The sequence below is a fragment of the Homo sapiens genome, chromosome 8, assembly GCF_000001405.40.
Source record: "Homo sapiens chromosome 8, GRCh38.p14 Primary Assembly".
Taxonomy (NCBI): domain Eukaryota; kingdom Metazoa; phylum Chordata; class Mammalia; order Primates; family Hominidae; genus Homo; species Homo sapiens.
The window spans coordinates 30,598,858-30,618,414 of NC_000008.11; the positions used below are offsets into that span (position 1 = coordinate 30,598,858).

At 38.2% G+C, this 19,557-nt stretch overlaps 1 protein-coding gene across 7 annotated transcripts in view, besides 1 other annotated feature; it reads right to left on the reverse strand.

The window, feature by feature from the left end:
- The window catches only part of GTF2E2 (general transcription factor IIE subunit 2), a 79,919-nt gene that overhangs the window by 20,540 nt on the left and 39,822 nt on the right, over positions 1 to 19,557 (reverse strand). For 6 of the 7 annotated variants that reach the window (NM_002095.6, XM_017013364.2, XM_017013363.2 and 3 more), the window contains exons 4-6: positions 15,751 to 15,858; positions 13,442 to 13,624; positions 8,200 to 8,293 (exon numbers count right to left, since the gene is read on the reverse strand). In NM_002095.6, the coding sequence (NP_002086.1) occupies positions 8,200 to 8,293; positions 13,442 to 13,624; positions 15,751 to 15,858 (385 nt within the window). Of the gene's footprint in view, positions 1 to 2,852; positions 3,078 to 8,199; positions 8,294 to 13,441; positions 13,625 to 15,750; positions 15,859 to 19,557 lie in introns of those variants that run through there. The other variant, XM_011544510.2, reaches the window with a different exon arrangement.
- Positions 2,049 to 2,098: a silencer, noted in NCBI's record as "silent region_19079". NCBI's record gives its function as "represses an Ori minimal core promoter by ATAC-STARR-seq in GM12878 lymphoblastoid cells {active_cell/tissue: GM12878}" and the evidence as "EXISTENCE:reporter gene assay evidence [ECO:0000049][PMID:35858748]".

A 19,557-nucleotide genomic window follows, 5' to 3' on the forward strand; every position in this document is an offset into this window, starting at 1 on the left:
TTAAAACAAGACAATCTTTGGCTGGGCATGGTGGCTCACACCAGTAATCCCTGCACTTTGGGAAGCCAAGGCAGGAGGATCGTTTGGCCCAGGAGTTCAAGACCAGTCTGGGCAACAAAGCGAGACCCTGTCTCTATTTATAAAAATTAATAAAATAAAAAACAAGATACTCTTTATGTTCTATGAGGTTGGCAAAGTCAACTAAAAACACCCAATCAGTATTTATGAGGACATGAAGAAATAAGATTCCTTCTCATTTATTACTGTGGAGGTATAAATTGGCCCAATTTTACAACAGACATTTGGTAAGGCATTAGTATTTTCAAAAATATGTCTATCTTTTGATCCAGCAATTCAACCTCAAGAAAATGTACACACAGCACTATCTGTAACAGCATAGAGCAAAAAAATAAAACCAAAAAAATAAATAAATAACTGGCTGGGCACAGTGGCTCACGCCTGTTATCCCAGCACTTTGGGCGGCTGAGGCAGGCAAATCACTTGAGGTCAGGAGTTCAAGAACTAGCCTGGCCAACATGGTGAAACCCTGTCTCTACTAAAAACACAAAAAATTAGCCAGGCATGGTGGTACGTACTTCTAATCCCAGCTACTCGGGAGTCTGAGACAGGAGAATCGCTTCAACCTGGGAGGCAGAGGTTGCAGTAAGCCGAGACTGTGCCATTGCACTCCAGCCTGGGCAACAGAGCGAGAGTTTGTCTCACAAAAAAAAAAAAAAAACTTCCCATCTGTGGAGTTTGTATACCTGGAAATGGGCCAGAAAAAATTGTTTTAGAGTATATCAACAAAATAGAATACCATGTAGCCATTTAAAAAATAACGATCAGGCAGGGCACGGTGGCTCACACCTGTAATCCCAGTACTTTGGGAGGCCAAGGTGGGCAGATCACTAGGTCAAGAGATCGAGACCATCCTGGCCAACACTGTGAAACCCCATCTCTACTAAAAATACAAAAATTAGCTGGGCGTGGTGGCACCCACCTGCAGTCCCAGCTACTAGGGAGGCTGAGGCAGAAGAATCGCTTGAACCCAGGGGGCAGAGGTTGCAGTGAGCGGAGATCACGCCACTGCACCCCAGCCTGGTGACAAAGCGAGACTCTGTCTCAAAAAATAAATAAATAAATAATGATCTAAAACAGTATGAGAGCCCCAGAGCACAGACTCAAAAGTGGTAGCTACTATAAGAATCCTGAATTCTTAAGATAAAGGTGAAACTGTTTAAGCTTCCAGTAAGTAAAAAAGTTGCCAGCAATGAGGAAAAAGATTGTCCATTAGAATTCTCATCAGAAACACCAAAAACCATAACGTAACTGCAAAAAATCAGCACAAATGTGGCCTGAGACTGCTAAATTGGCTTTCTTTGCTATCTGTTTAACCAAACACAAAACTATAAAACCAGTGAGTCAGTGACAGATGGATAAATAAATAACCAGGTTAAGTAGGATTAAAATGACTAGCACCATGGGTACTATTTTATTTTTCCGATACTAATAATAGTTAACATTACCATGTTCTTACTTTCCACCAGATTCTGTTCCAAGTTCCAAGCACTTTTATTTATATTCACTCATTTAATCCTCAAAGACAATGAGGTAACAATACTATTATTTCTATTTTACAGATGAGGAATCTCAGAGAGAGGTTAAGTGTCTTGCCTAGGCTAGTAAGGGACTGAGCTAAGATAAAACCTACATGGAATGAATAAATCTTTTTTTAGAGTAAAAAATAATAATAAAAAATAAATTAAAAAAAGATAAAACCTACAATCTAACTCCTCAGCACCAGCCTCTTCCCCATCACATTTATACTACCTTTAAATGAATAAGCTTCTGACTTAAGGAAAGAAATGCCTTTGAAAAATAAGTTGCCTGCCTAGGTCCAACTACTCTGTGTTCACTTCTACACTGGATTAAAAAATTACTACACCATCAACTCTCTCCTTGAGCTAATTCTCATTTTAGGACAAGTGCTTCTATTACAGACAGAACCCTCTGTGTGCCTGAAGTGTGCGCACTCAGAGTTCCTCTCTATGGCTAAGGTTGCCACCTAGTGGAACGAAACGAAAATCTTCACACAAAGCATAAAGCATTCTGAGGCTAGAGATGAATGTTAAAACGTGTCCGTTTTCAATGGGTCTTCCCTGGAAACACACATTCCTTATATCATTAACAAAAACTTGTTTTGTTTTGTTTTTGTTACTGATTTACGTAATACTGGCACTTTCAACTAAAAGACTGGTGGTACCTTACCCAAGGTTCCTGTAAATGGCTGTTCCCTCTGGTGTCTCTACAGCACCGTGTGAACACCAAAATGACAAAATGCAAACAGCTGAACTATGCTTCCTATGCCATTCTACCCGCTCAGCCTGGAAGGTCAAGGACAGCAACCTCATTCACTGTGATCTTCTTCCACCACCAAGTGTGCGGAATGACAGGAGCCAGGAAAAGGAATCTGAAAACAGTGGGTCTCAATCTTCCTCTATTCTATCAACATAAACTGGACCTTTAACCAAGTTCCCAACAAGGGGAATTTGTTCTCCAGGTGACATTTGATAATGTCTAAAGAAAGTTTTGGTTGTCACACTGCAGGGAAGCTAAGCTACTGGTATCTAAACAAGCCAAGGATGCTGATCAATGCCCTACAAGGCTCAGGACACTCCCCACACCAAAAAAAAACTACTCAACCAACCCCAAATGTTAACACTGCCAAGGTCGAAAGCCCTGCTTAACCCCCACCATCCTTCTTAAGAGGGACACAGATCAGTGAAAAATACCAGTTTATAACAATAAGCTGAGCCTACAAACCCAATTCTATTTAACATATATAAACAAAGTATTTTTGGCACTTTTAATAAACTTTTCTAGGAATATACAATGTATACTGTACACAGAATATAGCATTATTAACCTTGATAAATCACAGAAGAAATGTACTTTGTATTTTCAGAACTTTACCAAGAATCCTTTACCACTTAAGGAAGAGACCAGTTATGACATCTAAGTTGCCAATACATCGTAACTATATTGGCCCATTGGTGGCTATCATCTTCATGGTGACTCTACAATAGAAAGATATACAACTGTTTCAATTCCATTCCATTTACATTCTAGGGTAACTGCCTGAGCACTTATACATTTTTTAATCTTTTTTTTTTTTTTTGAGACAGAGCCTTGCTCTGTTGTCCAGGTTGGAGTGCAGTGGCACAATCTAGGCTCACTACAACCTCCACCTCCCAGGTTCATGCGATTCTTGTGTTTCAGCCTCCCAGGTAGCTGGGATTACAGACACGCACCAGCATGTCCGGCTAATTTTTGTACTTTTAGGAGAAATGGGATTTCACCATGTTGACCAGGCTGGTCTTGAAATCCTGACCTCAAGTGATCGCCTAAGGCAGGCCTCCCAAAGTGCTGGGATTACAGTCATGGGTCACAGCACCTGGCTGAAGTAAATTTTTAAACCATAAAAAATATATTTTAAAGAATAAAAATATATTTTCATTCTTTACATTACACTTAGGGTATTACACTGACTTTTTAAGAAAGTATGTGTATCAGTAGGTTATATTATCTATGAACTTAATTTCACAAAAGCAAAGATGACGTTACAAATCATTTGTTATAAGAGTGTTCACTGACTTTGGGAGGCCAAGGCAAACAGATCACCTGAGGTCGGGAGTCTGAGACCAGACTGACCAACATGGAGAAACCTGGTCTCTACTAAAAATACAAAATTAGCCAGGCGTGGTGGCATGCCTATAATCCCAGCTACTCGGGAGGCTGAGGCAGGAGAATTGCTTGAACCCGGGAGGCAGAGGTTGTTGTGAGCCAAGACTGCACCATTGCACTCCAGCCTGGGCAACAAGAGCGAAACTCCGTCTCAAAAAAAAAAAAAAAAAGGTGTTCACTGAATCTGGTGAAACAAAAGCCACTCTAGGAAAAAAACTAAAGTCCTTCCCACAATCTTTGTCTTTGCTATTCCCTCTGCCTGGATACTCGCCTTACAGTCCCACACGTGGACACTATTCTGACCCTTGGCAAGGCTAGCTCCACCCCATTTTTCCTGTTTTGGCTTATTTCACCTTTTTTCAAAGGTTGTATCTGAACTTCACCACCCACACCTTACCATAGAGCTCATTTATTTTCTTCCTAGCATTTCATACAATCCGCAGTATTTTCAAATTTTGTATATTGTCCTCCACTTCAGAATGGAAGCTCCATAAAGACAGGGACTGGTCTATCTTACCTCTATATTTAGCAAAATGACTAGGGCACTTAGGAGGAGACCATTAAATATTTCTTGAATAAACAGGCTTACGAATAAACATTAATAAACTGTAACAAAAATCCCAGAAATTGTCAACAAGGGAATAAAAAGACAACAGAGGATAAGAGAATGAAAATAAATTATACCATTTCCAAGTAAATGATGGGGAGATTACAACATATAATAAAGACGGTAAATGTAAAATGACAGTCAGAACTGATTCAAAAGTTAAAGCCAGCCATATGCCATCTAGAAAGGAAATACTTAAAACAACAACAAAAAAATACAGACAGAAAGTAAAAGATGGGAAAAAATATATAAAATTTTTAAAAAGCCAGAGGTTATGACAGTCAGATGGGAATAAAGCCAGACATCAAGGAAAAGAACATTAAATACAACAAAGGGGGACACATTATAATGATTTTGAACACAATTCTTAAAATAAACTACGACTGCCAAGAACGTTTATAAACTAAAAACTCTGCATGAAAATATAAAAAGCAGTAACTACAGGAAAAATAAACAAAAACATAAAAGTTGTGAGAGATTCTGATGTTTGCTCAGTCACTGCTTAGATCAAGTAGTCAAAAAATAAATATGTATGTAGATGATGATCTGATAAGAATATTTTCTGTTAAAATGAAAACACAACAAACAACAGAGATAAAATAAGTAGTTCACAAAGAAATAAGGAAAGAACAAATACAAAAGTGCACCATAGAGAAAATAACAGTGAGAAAATTAAGTCCGAGGGCCACGCTCTGAAAAACCGCACACTATTAAATTTGAAATTTTAAAAAGAATGGTTTTGTAGAAAAACACAGAATTATCAAAATTGACTTGCAAGATAGAAAACTTAAGGACATAAGCAAATAAAACATTAAGAATGTTGCCAAGAAAGCAATTAGCCAGATACATTCATGGGTATATGCCTTCACATTTTTAAAGAATCTACTATTCTCATAAGGAATGAGGGGGGGAGAGGAAGAAAAACTACTTTTCTTTTTATGAACCCAGCATAATAACCATAACCAAAATCTGACAAAGCACACAAAAAAGAAAAGTGACCATACTGAAACAATTGTCCTAAATACATTAATATTAAAAATTTAGAAATACATGAAGCCAAAGAAAGGTTATCTAGGAGTGTAAGGGTGGTTAAATATTAAGAAACCTAGCAGTACATTTCACCATATATTAAATAAGTTAGCAACAACAAAGATCTGAAAAGATGCAAAAATATTTTCTCAATTTACTTCTGCATTATCTTCCTGATTTCTATGACTACTTCATTAAAATAAAAAATACATAGCCAATGTGTAAGATATGTAAAGACATTTGCTTCAGCATTGTTAACTATTTTAAAACTCATTAATCAGGTACACACAGTGGAATACTAACCAGCCATACATCGTTATGGAATATTTGTAATGCTGAGAAAGCAAACTAAAAGAATAAACATCAAATTATTTACAGAACTTGTTCCTGATTATGTAAGATTTAACTACCAAGCATATGTTATCACAAGACACGGAACACATATCCATGATGCATGTTTAATTTCTGCATCACATATGCTAGAGTTTAATATTACTATTTTACTCTATGTATTTCTAGATTGTTAATGTTTTCTAGGGGGGAAAGTGAAAATTCTCATTTTACCCCTATAAGCTATGCAATAAGGAAATAGAAAAGAGTTTAGGCCAACAAAGGCCATATAAAATGACAAATGAAAACGGGTAATATTAAGGAAGTATAGATAAAAGATACACAAACAGGAAAAAGCAAAGTTAAAACAATAGTATCCACAGAAAGAGCACACAAGGGCCAGAAAGTGACAGCTTAGCGTGCAGATTACAAGAACATCTGGGCTTCCCACTGCTAAACACACAGTGTACTCCTAAAATAACCCCAAAGAAATGCTATTAAGAAATTCTAGAGCTTCATGTACACTCTTACAGAGCTACTGCAATCTCTTTCCTATCAACCACCCGCCTCAAGTTAAACATCTGCTTACACAACAGACATGCTACACTATGCTGCCATCTGCAGAGCAGACTTAACACTAAAATTCCCACTGAGAACATTTAAATATGTTTGTTGAAGGCATCAAAGTAAATGACGGAGAAACTAAAACTTAACTAGAGATACAACTATATTGGGAGGAGAGAGATAGGTATAGGAAAGAGAAATGACAGTAAGTCACACAATGTTTAAAGTTGAAAAAAAATCAAGAAACAATAGCATAAGCATATTATTAGCAATTGGGAAAAAACTGAAGAATCCAAAATAAAACTAGTTAAGCAGCTGCCACAAAAGAAAGGGACTGCAGCTAGAGAAGGGAAAGGCACATCTGCCTTTTAGTATAGGCTCTTACTCTCTATCTGAACTTGTAATACTTGTGATAGGTTTTTTTAAGTACTGCAAATATTTTTCAAAATGATTGTTATTATACCTAAGAATAAAGGAATCGGTTATTTCTTAGATTTTTTTTTTTTTGAGCTCAGAAATATCTTAAATGGTTTTTAACTTTCTTTTTTAAAGGCAGAGTCTCACTCTGTCACCCAGGCTGGAGTGCGGTGGCACAATCAGCTCACCGTAACCTCTAACTCCTGAGTTCAAGCTATACTCTTGTCTCAGCCTTGTGAGTAGCTGAGACCACAGGCATGCGCCACCAAGCCTGGCTAATTTTTCAGTTTTTAATAGAGATAGGGTCTCACTTTTTTGCCCAGGCTGGTCTTGAACTCCTAGCCTGAAGCGATCCTCCCACCTTGGCCTCTGAAAGTGCTAGGATTAGAGGCATGAGCCACCATGCCCAGCCTTAAATGTTTTCAAAAGCAAGAAATATAAAAATTAGCATAAAGGCAACATTGCAAGTAACGAAGACTGAAAGCAATATAAAAATCGCCAGGCAGTACTGAAGTCTTTGTTCAACAGGCACCTATCACTACAATGGATAGCATAAGTTCACTACATACTTGCTTTGTTATATAAAAGCTTATTAGAAACAACAACATCAAAGAACTGGAATATTCTGCACATTTTTATTTAATTAACATTTATTGTGAACCAATTACATGTAAGATACTCAATTGGGATTTTCACAAAAATACAATTTCCTAAAACAAGTTCAGGGAAACTAAAGCCCTATCTACCAGAACCACAAGCCTGGATATCTATAGACAGATAACAAAAGGAAAACTTAAGGTTACTGCACAAATCACAAAATCAATTAAATTGATGTCCAATTATTTTCCTGCCATTTTATAAAACTTCAAAAGTAATACAAATTTACAGTAAAATACCACCAACACTTGCTAAAATGGCAATTGGTAAACTTGAATAATACATTTTTCATCACTAAACCCTTGTTTAATGACAAATTATTGACAAAAATTTAAAACTAAAGTCCAAACATACGTATCATATACTTAGTAAGAGATTCAATATACAGCTTAGCATCCAACTCCACAATTTCCAGAAAGAAAAACATCATCTCCTTCCTTATTCAATTTGATAACTGAAAGATTCATAAGATAAGAGAACACTATTCACCAATAAAAGTTTATTCTTTTTCCCATCCTGTATCAAGCTTTTGTATCAGGATATGAACTTACATTTGTAAAAGTCTAAAGATAAAGAAATAAACCCGTTTGGTTCAGTTGAGCTATAAACATTAAGAAATCCTGAACTGCGATTGTAAGTATAATTAACCTAAAATCTTTCAAATCACATATTTCAAATTGCATTCTAAGCAACAATATGTTAGACACAGGGGCCACTGGCTGTGTTCTAAGAAATGATAATGCTAAAAAAGCAATATAAGATTTAAATTATAATTGTATTATAAATATTAATTTTACCACCCTAAAATTGTAATATACTTGCAAACTAAAGTATAATACAGAAAAGCTCACCTTCATCCACAGAAAACTGACAGCTCTTATCATTGAAGAAAAGTATTTTCTTCTTATCGGGACGATTTACAAATAGTATCTGGTCCCCCAAAGCCTTAAAGATAGATAAAATAAAGATTTTTCAGTTAACTCCAAATTACCTCACCAAAAAAAAAAAAAATTTAAACAATAAAGGAGTTTCATTTCCTTAACACACTCAGTATACCACCATAGGGTCCTCCACCATAGGTCCACTGGACCCAATTTTAGTTTTAGTTTTGTTTTTAAGAGACTCCACCCAGACTGGAGTGCAGCTCACTGCAGCCTCAACCTCCCAGGCTCAAGCAATCCTCCCACCTCAGCCTCTGGAGTAACTGGGACCACTGGTGCATTGCCACCACGTCTAGCTAATGTTTTCAATTTTTTGTAGACAAAGGGTCTCACTATGTTGCCAGGGCTGGTCTTGAACTCCTGGGCTCAAGCGATCTTCCCACCTCAGCATCAGAAAGTACAGGGACTATAGGTGTGAGCCACTGCACTCAGCCCCAATTTTAGTTTTTGAGTTTCTTTCTTGAGTAGTTCAATTTTTTAAAAATTGATATTTCCAGACTTGTATTCTTAGAGGTCTTCCAAAGAACAAAAATAAAACGTGTTTCACTTAAAACGGAAAATTCAATCTTTGCTGCAATTACTATTTGGGTCCATGGGGCTCTTTCACTAATCTAAGACACATAATAGAATCTTGGTGTTCTTACTTTTCCTCTACCTTGAGATATTTCGCTCCTTACTCATCATTACCCATCAATTATTTCCAATTGTGCTTTTAAAACGCTAAAATAATAAGAAAATAGAAGAATGATTAAATCACCTAGAAATGTGATGCAATAGTGAAATACATGGGCATCCTTCAGTTTTCTTACTGCATTGCCCAAAGGATTACATTACTCCTTTTCAAGAGATATAAAAGATTGGAAGAGTCTTCTTGTTGTCTTTTAACTTTCATTGAGTACACCTGACAAAAAAAATTTTGTATTTTCTACCCTTGAGAGCAAAGACAAGAAAACTGACCAAAGACATTTCACAATTATTAGATGAATCAAAATATGAATGCAAAAAGCCAAATAGCAGCACTCTAGACTATCTGGCAAAAATTCATCATAGGAATAAAGTCTCAAGCTATGGAGTCTTTAGATGACAATAACTCAAGTGAAGATTCTCAAGCTTAAGAATCAACAAGCGAACAAAATGCTTCTCAATACAAAATGGAAACAATATTCTCATCCCGTTATTCACCAGAAGATTATCACACAGTATTTTGTGAAAAGAATCTTTATCATCTCACTTTGCTAAAAGGATATATGACAGTATTCTTCTTTTTGATGTGTTTTCCAAAAATTACTTGATACAGAAGTTTGCTGTGTTAAATTCTTACTAAAATCTCTAATAAAGCTGTTTTCATCATCCCATTATTCTTACTTATGTAAATTATTCATAAAATGACTTAAAGTAGCTTAAAAATAATAGTCCACTAGATCAAGGTGGTAAAAGGTGATAACTACAGGATGAGCAACCCAAATCCCAAAATCTCGAATCCAAAATCCAAAACTTTTTAAGTGCTGACATGACATGCCAAAGAAATACTTACTGGGGGCCAGGTGTGATGGCTCACACCTATAATCCCAGCACTTTGGGAGGCAGGAGGATCATTTGGGGTCAGGAGTTTGTTTGTTTTGAGACGGAGTCTCACTCTGTCAACCAGGCTGGAGTGCAGTGACGCGATCTTGGCTCACTGCAAGCTCCGCACGGTGGCTCACGCCATTCTCCTGCCTCAGCCTCCCGAGTAGCTGGGACTACAGGTGCCCGCCACCACGCCCGGCTAATTTTTTGTACTTTTTAGTAGAGACAGCGTTTCACCATGTTAGCCAGGACGGTCTCAATCTCCTGACCTCGTGATCCACCCGCCTCGGCCTCCCAAAGTGCTGGGATTACAGGCGTGAGCCACTGCACTCGGCCGAGGTCAGGAGTTTTGAGACCAGCCTGGTCAACATGGTGAAACCCCATCTCTACTAAAAATAGAAAAATTAGCTGAACACGGTGGCAGGTGTCTGTAATCCCAGCTACTTGGGAGGCTGAGACAGGAGAATCTCTTAAACCAAGGAGACAGAGGTTGCAGTGAGCTGAGATCACCCCACTGCACACCAGCCAGGGCAACAGAAAGAGACTCCGCCTCAAAAAAAAAAAAAAAGAGAAAGAAAGAAAGAAAGAAATACTCACTGGAGCATTTTGGATTTCAGATTTTCAACTCTGGAATGTTTAAACTGGTATAATGAAAATATCCCAAAATTTGAAAAAAATCCCAAAATCTGAAACAGTTCTGGTCCCAAGCATTACAGATAAGGGACAGTCAAATTGTACATACATAAAATAAATGAAAGAACCTGAAGGCATTGCTAAAAAAAATTAAAGACATGAATAAATGAATTCTGTGCTCATGTATTAAAAAACTTAATACAGTTACGATGGCAATACTACCCAAAGTTACCTATTCAAGGTAATCCCTATCAAAATCCCAATGGCATTTTTTGCAGAAATGGAAAAATCCATCCAAAAATTTATATCAAATCTCAAGGGACCTCAAAAAGCCTGAAATGGTTTAGATCTGTGTCCCCATCAAATCTCATGTCAAACTGTAATCCCCAATGTTGGAGGTGGGGCCTGGTGGGCGGTGACTGGTATGAAGGTGGATTTCCCTCTTGGTGCTGTTCTCCTGATAATGAGTTCTCATGAGATCTGGTCATTTAAAAGTGTGTGGCACCTTCCCCACTCTCTCTTGCTCCTGCTCCGGCCATGTAAGATGAGCCTGTTTCCCCTTCACCTTCTGCCATGATTATAAGTTTCCTGAGACCTCCCCATAAGCTGAGTAGACACCAGCATCATGCTTCCTGGAGAGCCTGCAGAACTGTGAGCCAAATCAATCTCTTTTCTTTATAAATTATCCAGTCTCAAGCATTCCTTTATAGCATTGCAAGAATAGACTAATACATAGCCAAAACAATCTTGAAAAAGAACAAAATTGGTGATCTCACTCTTACTGATTTCAAAATATATTACAGAGCTACATTAATCAGGCCAGGTGCAGTGGCTCACACCTGGAATGCCACCACTTTGGGAAGCCGAGGGTGGGCAGATCACTTGAGGTCAGGAGTTCGAGACCAGACTGGCCAACATGGTAAAACCACATCTCTACCAAAAATAAAAAAATTAGTTGGGTGTGGTGGTGTGTGCCTATAATCCCAGCTAATCAGGAGGCTGAGGCAGGACTACTGCTTGAACCTGGGAGGCAGAGGTTGCAGTGACCCAAGATTGCATCACTGCACTCCAGCATGGGTGACAGTGTGACTCTGTCTCAAAAAAAAAAAAAAAAAAAGGCTACATTAATCAAAACATTGTAGTGCTGGCATGAAGAAAGACATACAGGCAGAATAGAGGGCCCAGAAATAAACCTTCACATATATGGTCAAATGATCTTCCACATGAGTACCAAGACTAAGACTATTCAATGGGCAAAGGACGGTCTCTTCATCAAGACACTGAGAAAACTGGATATCCACATGAAAAGGAATAAAGTTGGACTCTTACACCATATACAAAAATTAACTCTAAATACCTAAGACCCAAAACTATAAAACTCCTAGAAGAAAACATAGGACAAAAGCTTCATGACATTAGATTTGGCAGTGATTTAAACATGATACTAAAGGCACAGGCAACAAAATCAAAAATAGACAAGAGTGCAGCAAACTCAGAAACTGGCAAATTAAAGAGCACAATCAACAGAGTAAAATGGCAACCTACAGAATGGGAGAAAATATTTGCAAATCATGTATCTGTTAAGGAATTAATATCCAGAATATATTTTTTAAAACTCCCACAATTCAACAACAAAAACACAATGGAATATTATTCAGCTTTAAAAAGGAAGAAAATCCTGTTGCAAGTACAACATGGATGAACCTTGAGAATATTATGCTAAGTGAAATAAGCCAGTCTTGGAAAAAGATTCCAAGATTCCAAGCAAACGGGCTAAGGCTAGAAGAACAGAAGAGACATATCATATGCTACCTGCTGTAGGGCAGACAAGGTTTGGAGTAACTGCCCACTTAACCACAAAACAAAACAAATAGAAACACTCTTGGGAGGAATGTAACAGAATCCTGAGTCTTTACACATATTAATATAATCCACAAGGTCTAAGACCCAACAGAAATGTATTAGATATATGAAGAAACAGGAAAATATGACCCATAAAAGAGACAGTCAATGCAGACCAGCTCTGAGATGACTCGGCTGTTAGAATAAGAAGAATTTTAAAGCAGCTATAAGAAATCATACTTAAGGGTGTAACAAAAGATACTTGTCACGAATGGAAAAAAAAGAAAACAAAATTCAGCAAAGAAACAGAAACCAGAAGAAAAATTTACAAAGAAAGACTAGAACTGAAAAATACAATTAAAAAATTCACCAACTGGGCTTAACAAGTTGGAAGTGAAGAAGAAAAGTGAGTGAACTTGACAATGGATTAATAGAACAGAAAAAAAATTGAAATAAATAAACAGAGCCTCAGGGACTTGTAGTACAATACCAGAAGATCTGACATGTATAATTCCATTACCAAGAAGAAGAGACAAAGGGGCAAGTTTTCTTCTACAGGCAGCAAAATGAATGAACCTGCTTAACAAGTTAACATTAATAATGAGCAACTGTGACAAATGGAAACAAGCAGCTTTCCCCAGTGAGTTTCAAATTTAAACTGGAAATGTCATCTGTATCAGTAGGACTTTCATAGATAGCCCCTTTAGGACTTCAAAACAGCCAGGTTATTAACCAATGCTTTCATGTTTTAATGCCTCTAGTTCCTCAGGTAAGGAACATCTACTAGTATTATAGAAGACACTCTTATTTACAAACAGAGCTTACAAGAGAAACTCTATTGCCTTTGAGGAAAATTTTCCAGAAATAGCCTGAACAATCAAACAATCATATAGTAACAGCAACAAGAACCCGTCAAAGTTACACAGAGATGGCTGCTCCCTTTCCTGCTAGGTGGCACAAGACAAATTTCAAACCTTCAAGTGGCTCACTGTAACCCATGTGTATATAATAGAAGCTTTAAAAACAATTGTAAAATGTTTGATATTTTTAAAACCAAGAAGTCATTATTCATTCAAATTATATTAAGACATAGAAAGAAAAGAGAGATTACCTTGACAGCTTTCTGGGAATTGGGCAGTGCTTCTTCTATGTCTTCTAAAAGAATTCCTCCTAATCCTCGCTGGTCATGCTGATCTAAGAGCCTAAGTAGGGCCTTCTTATCTCTCACGTTGTACTTGGGCTTGAAAGCATACTTCCCATCTATTACTTCAATTTTGGGATTGTTGACTAAAGCCTGTAACAGTGATACAATTGGAATATATTAACAAATGGAACATAAATATATATATATATTTTTGAAACGTAATCTTGCTCTGTCGCCCAGGCTGGAGTGCAGTGGCGTGATCTCAGCTCACTGCAACCTCCGCCTCCTGGGTTCAAGCGATTCTCCTGCCTCAGCCTCCCTCTCCTGCCTCCCTCCCTCTCAGCACCTGGGACTGCAGGTGCGCACCACCACACCCAGCGAATTTTTGTATTTTTAGTAGAGACGGGGTTTCACCACATTGGCCAGGCTGGTCTTGAACTTCTGACCTCAGGTGATCCACCCACCTCAGCCTCCCAAAGTACTGGGATTATAGGCGTGAGCCACTGTGCCCAGCCCATATACACATTCTTAATTCTACTAATTATTTTAAAATACAACACTAGCCAATACAGTGGCAAATTAAAAGTACCTTATGAATACAAACTGGCAGGCCTAAAATCCTGGACATCCAGAATTCCAGAACAGTAGATCAGCACGGTGCTCACTTTTTATAAAAGAAACTGTGTTTTATTTACATAAATTCTTTGAAGAGAAATAAACCATTTTATCACAACTACTTTGAAAAAAGCTGAACCCATATTCTTCTAGTAGTCAAAATGTGTAGGAATCAATAAAACACCTACAAATATTAATAGACAAAGTGAACTGAGTAGTGCCCACTCCATCTGCAAAGTACAGCTTATCACATACTGGCATTATAAAGTAAGGAACATAACCCTTACTAGTCAATGGTCTTCCCCATCTGCTATCAACTGGCAATGGCAGCTGTGGAAGGAACTGAAAAGGACCAGACTAGTGCATACAAGAACTTTACCTATAATGTCAGCTTGAGAATGAAACTGAGTAGGAATGCAGGAATTACTGAATATAATTATGTTTCTAGTCAGTTCTGTTGTACAGTTAGTATCAGAAGGAAAGCTCTTCAAAAAGAGCAACCCTATATATTTTCTTCTGCAGCTGCCAGCCTGACCCTGAAAGGAGAAAGAGAAGAAACACAGAAAGAAGAAAAAAGGGAGAATAGAATAGTAAAATGATCAAAGTCATTGTTAACTAAATGTTGGTAGTCTATGAATTCTCAAGGTTAGCTAAACCAGCAAATTTAAATGTGGATTACCATTGTTTGTGTATCACTAATACAATGAACTACAATTATACTGATTAATGGTCATGTTACATTATAAAAGTCAAGACCTGTATTTTGCTTGGTAAAAAAATAAATGAATTGTATGTTAGGAATTTTACATTTGGTTTCTAGAATCTATCTCTGGTCCTAGAAAGTAGTCTTCTTAGTTTTCACTTCATATTTTAAAGCGGTAAACATTTGAATTTTTAAATGCTATTCATTTCCAAATTAGCATGGTCACTGACTGCGTTGGGGTTTCTTCAAATGATGTGTGTTCATACACAGCATTCGCGACTTTTTTTCCACATCAAGCCATAATAGCAGTAATTGTGCAACAAAATATCTTCCTATCCCTGCAGTACCTTATGCTTTAAATTTCCTAAAACAAAAACAATTCAATTTACAAGCACACAAACTATAAATCTGGCAATACAAAATAAGCATTAATCTGTAAAAACATTAAGTCGAATTGGTACAATGACTTCTTTACAACTATTACACAAAGTCTTACCTTTAACATTTTGAAACAGATAACATAAAATTATATGAAAACCAACAAATCAATCTTATAAATGTGTACATTCAAAAAACAAAGACCCTACACCATTTCTTTTAAGAAAAAGTAAAAAGCATTATCAGATTTCACCATATTAAAACATTCTAGGCAAGGCGCAGTGGCTCATGCCTATAACCCCAGCACTCTGGGAGGCCGAGGTGGGCGGATCACTTGAGGTCAGGAGTTCAACACCAGCCTGGCCAACATGGTGAAACCCCGTCTCTACTAAAAACACAAAAATTAGCCTGGTATCGTGGCACATGCCTGTAGTCCCAACTACTCGGGAGGCTGAGTCAGCAGTGGGCTGAGATCATGCCACTGCACTCTAGCCTGTGCAACAGAGCAAGACTCTGTCTTAAAAAAAAAAGAAAATTCTAGTTACAGGAAATCTCTCTTGATAATCAACTAAATTCTTACCTCAGTCATTAGCCATTGTTTCTGCTTGAGTCCAATATCTAAATGTTGTGTTTCATCCAAAATTTCATCTAAGGTTAGAGGATGCGTATCTCCTCGCTGATGCCGTGTCTATCAAGTGAAGAAATTGTTATTAGAAGACAGTTTCAAAATGCTAGATGCATTAAATCATAGTTACATGTAAACAAACCTTCAGGAATGAAAAACATGTATTATTCCAGGTAGCATAATTATAGTGACGAAGAGCCATAGACCATGAAATCAGAATGGGGTTGAAACTCATTGCTCTATAAAATCAAAAGACAAACTGACAAAAAAATATATGCAACTCGTATCACCAAGAGCTATATTCTTCCTAACATTTCAAGAGCTTCAAAAAACTAACAAAATAGACCAGGCACAGTGGCTCATGGCTGTAATCCCAGCACTCTGGGGGACTAAGGCAGGTGGGATCACTTCAGGTCAGGTGTTCGAGACCAGCCTGGCCAACATGGTGAAACCCCATGTCTACTAAAAATATAAAAATCAGCCGTGCATGGTGGTGCATGCTTGTAATCCCAGCTACTTGGGAGGCTGAGGCAGGAGAATCGCTTGAACCTGGGAAGAGGAGGCTGCAGTGAGCTGAGATCATGCCACTGCACTCCAGCCTGGGAGGCAAGAGCAAGACTCTGTCTTGAAAAAACACAAAACTAACAGAAAATGACCCAAAGACAGAAACGCGCAGATTGCAAAAAATGACCTTAAACATAGGAAAAGACACTCAACTTTCACCAAACAATCCTATTTCTAGAAACTTATCCTACAGAAATACCAGTACCACACAGAAAAGTGACTTATGGTCACTGTAGCATTGTTCATAAAAGGAAAATATTAGAAATAACCCAAGCGTCCATATTAGAAGACAGATTAACTACAGCACATCCATTCCACTACACAGATGTTCACAAAGTAAATGTAAAAGTTCTCTATGTGCTAATTTGAAAAGATGTCCAAGACAAATTAATAAGTTAAAAAACATATGTATCATGCCTATCCAAAGAAAACACACACACACACGTAGATACCAAAAGCTAGAGAGGATGCAAAGGAACAGGAGCTGTCATTCATTACTGGTGAGTATGCTAAATGGTACAGCTACTGTGGAAGACAGTTCAGCAGTTTCTTACAACACTAAACACACTCTTACCATTTGATCAATCTAGCAATCACGATCCTTGGTATTTACCCAAATGAGCCAAAAAATTATGTACATACAAAAATCCACTAAGGATGCTTATTACAGCTTTATCCATAATTGCCAAAAGCTGGAAGCAACCAAGATGTCCTTCAGTAGGTGAGTGGGTAAATAAACCGTGGTATATCCAGACGATGGAATACTATCCAGTGCTAAAACGAAATGAGCTATCAAGCTATGAAAAAAACATGGAGAAACCTTAAATACATATTACTAAGGGAAAGAAGCCAATCTGAAAAGGATACATACTGTATGGCTCCAACTGTTGACATTCCGGAAAAGGCAAAAACCATGGAGACAATAAAAAGTTTAGTGGCTGCAGGCCAGATGCAGTGGTTCACACCTGTAATCCCAGCACTTTGGGAAAACGAAGCAGGCCACAAGGTAAGGAGATCGAGACCATCCTGGCCAACATGGTGAAATCCCATCTCTACTAAAATACAAAAAATTAGCCAGGCGTGGTAGCGGGTGCCTGTAGTCTCAGCTACTCGGGAGGCTGAGGCAGGGGAATCACTTGAACCTGGGAGGCGGAGGTTGCAGTGAGCCAAGATCAAGCCATTGCATTCCAGCCTGGCAACAGAGCAAGACTCTGTTTTAAAAATAAATAAATAATTTTAAAAATTAAAAATTAAAAAAAGTTTAGTGGCTGCCAAGGGTTGAGGGGAGAGGATGAACAAGCAGAGCCCTGAGAATTTTTAGGGCAGTGAAAATACTCAGGAGGATACTAGAGTGGTGGACATAGGTCATTATACACTTGTCCAAACCCACAGAAAGAACACCACTAAGGGTGAACTCATGTAAACTATGGACTTTGAGTGGTAATTTGTCAACGTAGGTTCATTGACTGTCACAAATGTACTCTTCTGGTGCAGGATGTTGATAGTGGAGGAAGCTGTGGGGGGATGGGCAGGGAATGGATGAGAATTCTGTATTTTCCAATCAATTTTGCTGTGAACCTAAAACTGCTCTAAAAAAAAAAGTGTTTTTTAAAGTAAATAAGAAAAAAGTATGTATGTTAAAAAACATATGCACTATGAACCCTTGTATATAGGGAAGGGTAGAAATAAGTATACATTTGAACTTTGTTTCTGCATAAAGAACCACTGGAAAAAAAATCACAAGAAACTAATAAAAGAGGTTACCTGTAGAAAGCACAAGAGGGGAGAAAATGAGTAGGATGACAGGTGAGAACAAGACTCCTTCATTGTACCTTATTATACAACTTTACTTTTTGTACAAAGAGATATGTTATTTATCCAAAACAAAAATAACTCTTCAAAAGAAAAAAAAACCCAAGCTCCAAGTTCCCTCACATTGAGCAGGTTACTGAACCTCATTGGGCTTCAGTCAGGCCCTGGAAAACTAAATAGCCACTTCGCCAAACTAGAAGGTACAGACAGCAGATAGAGACATAAGCTTAACACACCACACAAAAGAACCATTCATTGAGCGTTTGCTGTTAATTCATTCACTTATTCATTCAAATATTTAGTGGTAACTACTATGTGCTGAGAGTACTGCAATGAGACACACAATAAAATGCAAACTACTTCTGCCTTTAGAGCAGAAGAGCTCCCAATAGAGGGGAGAAGCTAAACATACAAGCTACAAAAGTTAGATATGGCCGGGCATAGTGGCTCACACCTGAATCCCAGCAAATTGGAAGGTCAAAGTGGGCAGGTTGCTTGAACCCAGGAGATTGAGGCCAGCCTGGACAACATGGCAAAACTCTGACTCTACCAAAAAATTGCATATATACAAAAATTAATCAGGTATGGTGGCACACGCCTATAGTCCCAGTTCCTTGGCAGGCTGTAACGACTGCTTGAGCCCAGGAGGCAGATGCTGCAAGTGAGCTGTGGTCATGCCACTGCACTCCATCCAGCCTGGGTGACAGAACCAGATCTTGTCTCAAAAAAAAAAAAAAAGCTAGGTAAACAACTATCTGTCAGGAAGGCATCTTCAATCAGAAGAAATGAAAGAGAAAACTGGACAGACCTTGAATGACGACATGATTAACTAGAATACGGGGAAACGCCGGGCAGCTATAGTACAGCAGTGGTCTCCTACGTGGGGTGTACACACCCCAGGGACACAAAAGTGGGTACCTCGTGATGATTCTTTAGAACATTTATTAAAATTGTCTTTAATTTCCATTTAAAAGTTATGCTTTACTTAGGCTGGGCACAGTGGCTCATGCCTGTAATCCCAGCACTTTGGGAGGCCGAGGCAGATGGATCTTGAGGCCAGGAGTTCAAGACCAGCCTGACCAACATAGTGAAATCTGTCTCTATTAAAAATACAAAAAATTAGCCGAACATGGTGGCACATGCCCGTAATCCCAGCTACTCAGGAGGCTGAGGAAGGAGAATCGCTTCAACTGAGGAGGCAGAGGTTGCGGTGAGCCGAGGTTGCACTATTGCACTCCAGCGCAACACTCTGTCTCGGGGGGCGGGGGGGAGTTACGCTTTACTAATAGTGAATATGTGGACTGACAAATACTATTAGTAAAGTGGCTCCTTCATCACTAGTAGTAAAGTGGCTCCTTCGCTTCATGTCAGGACATCCACATTTCC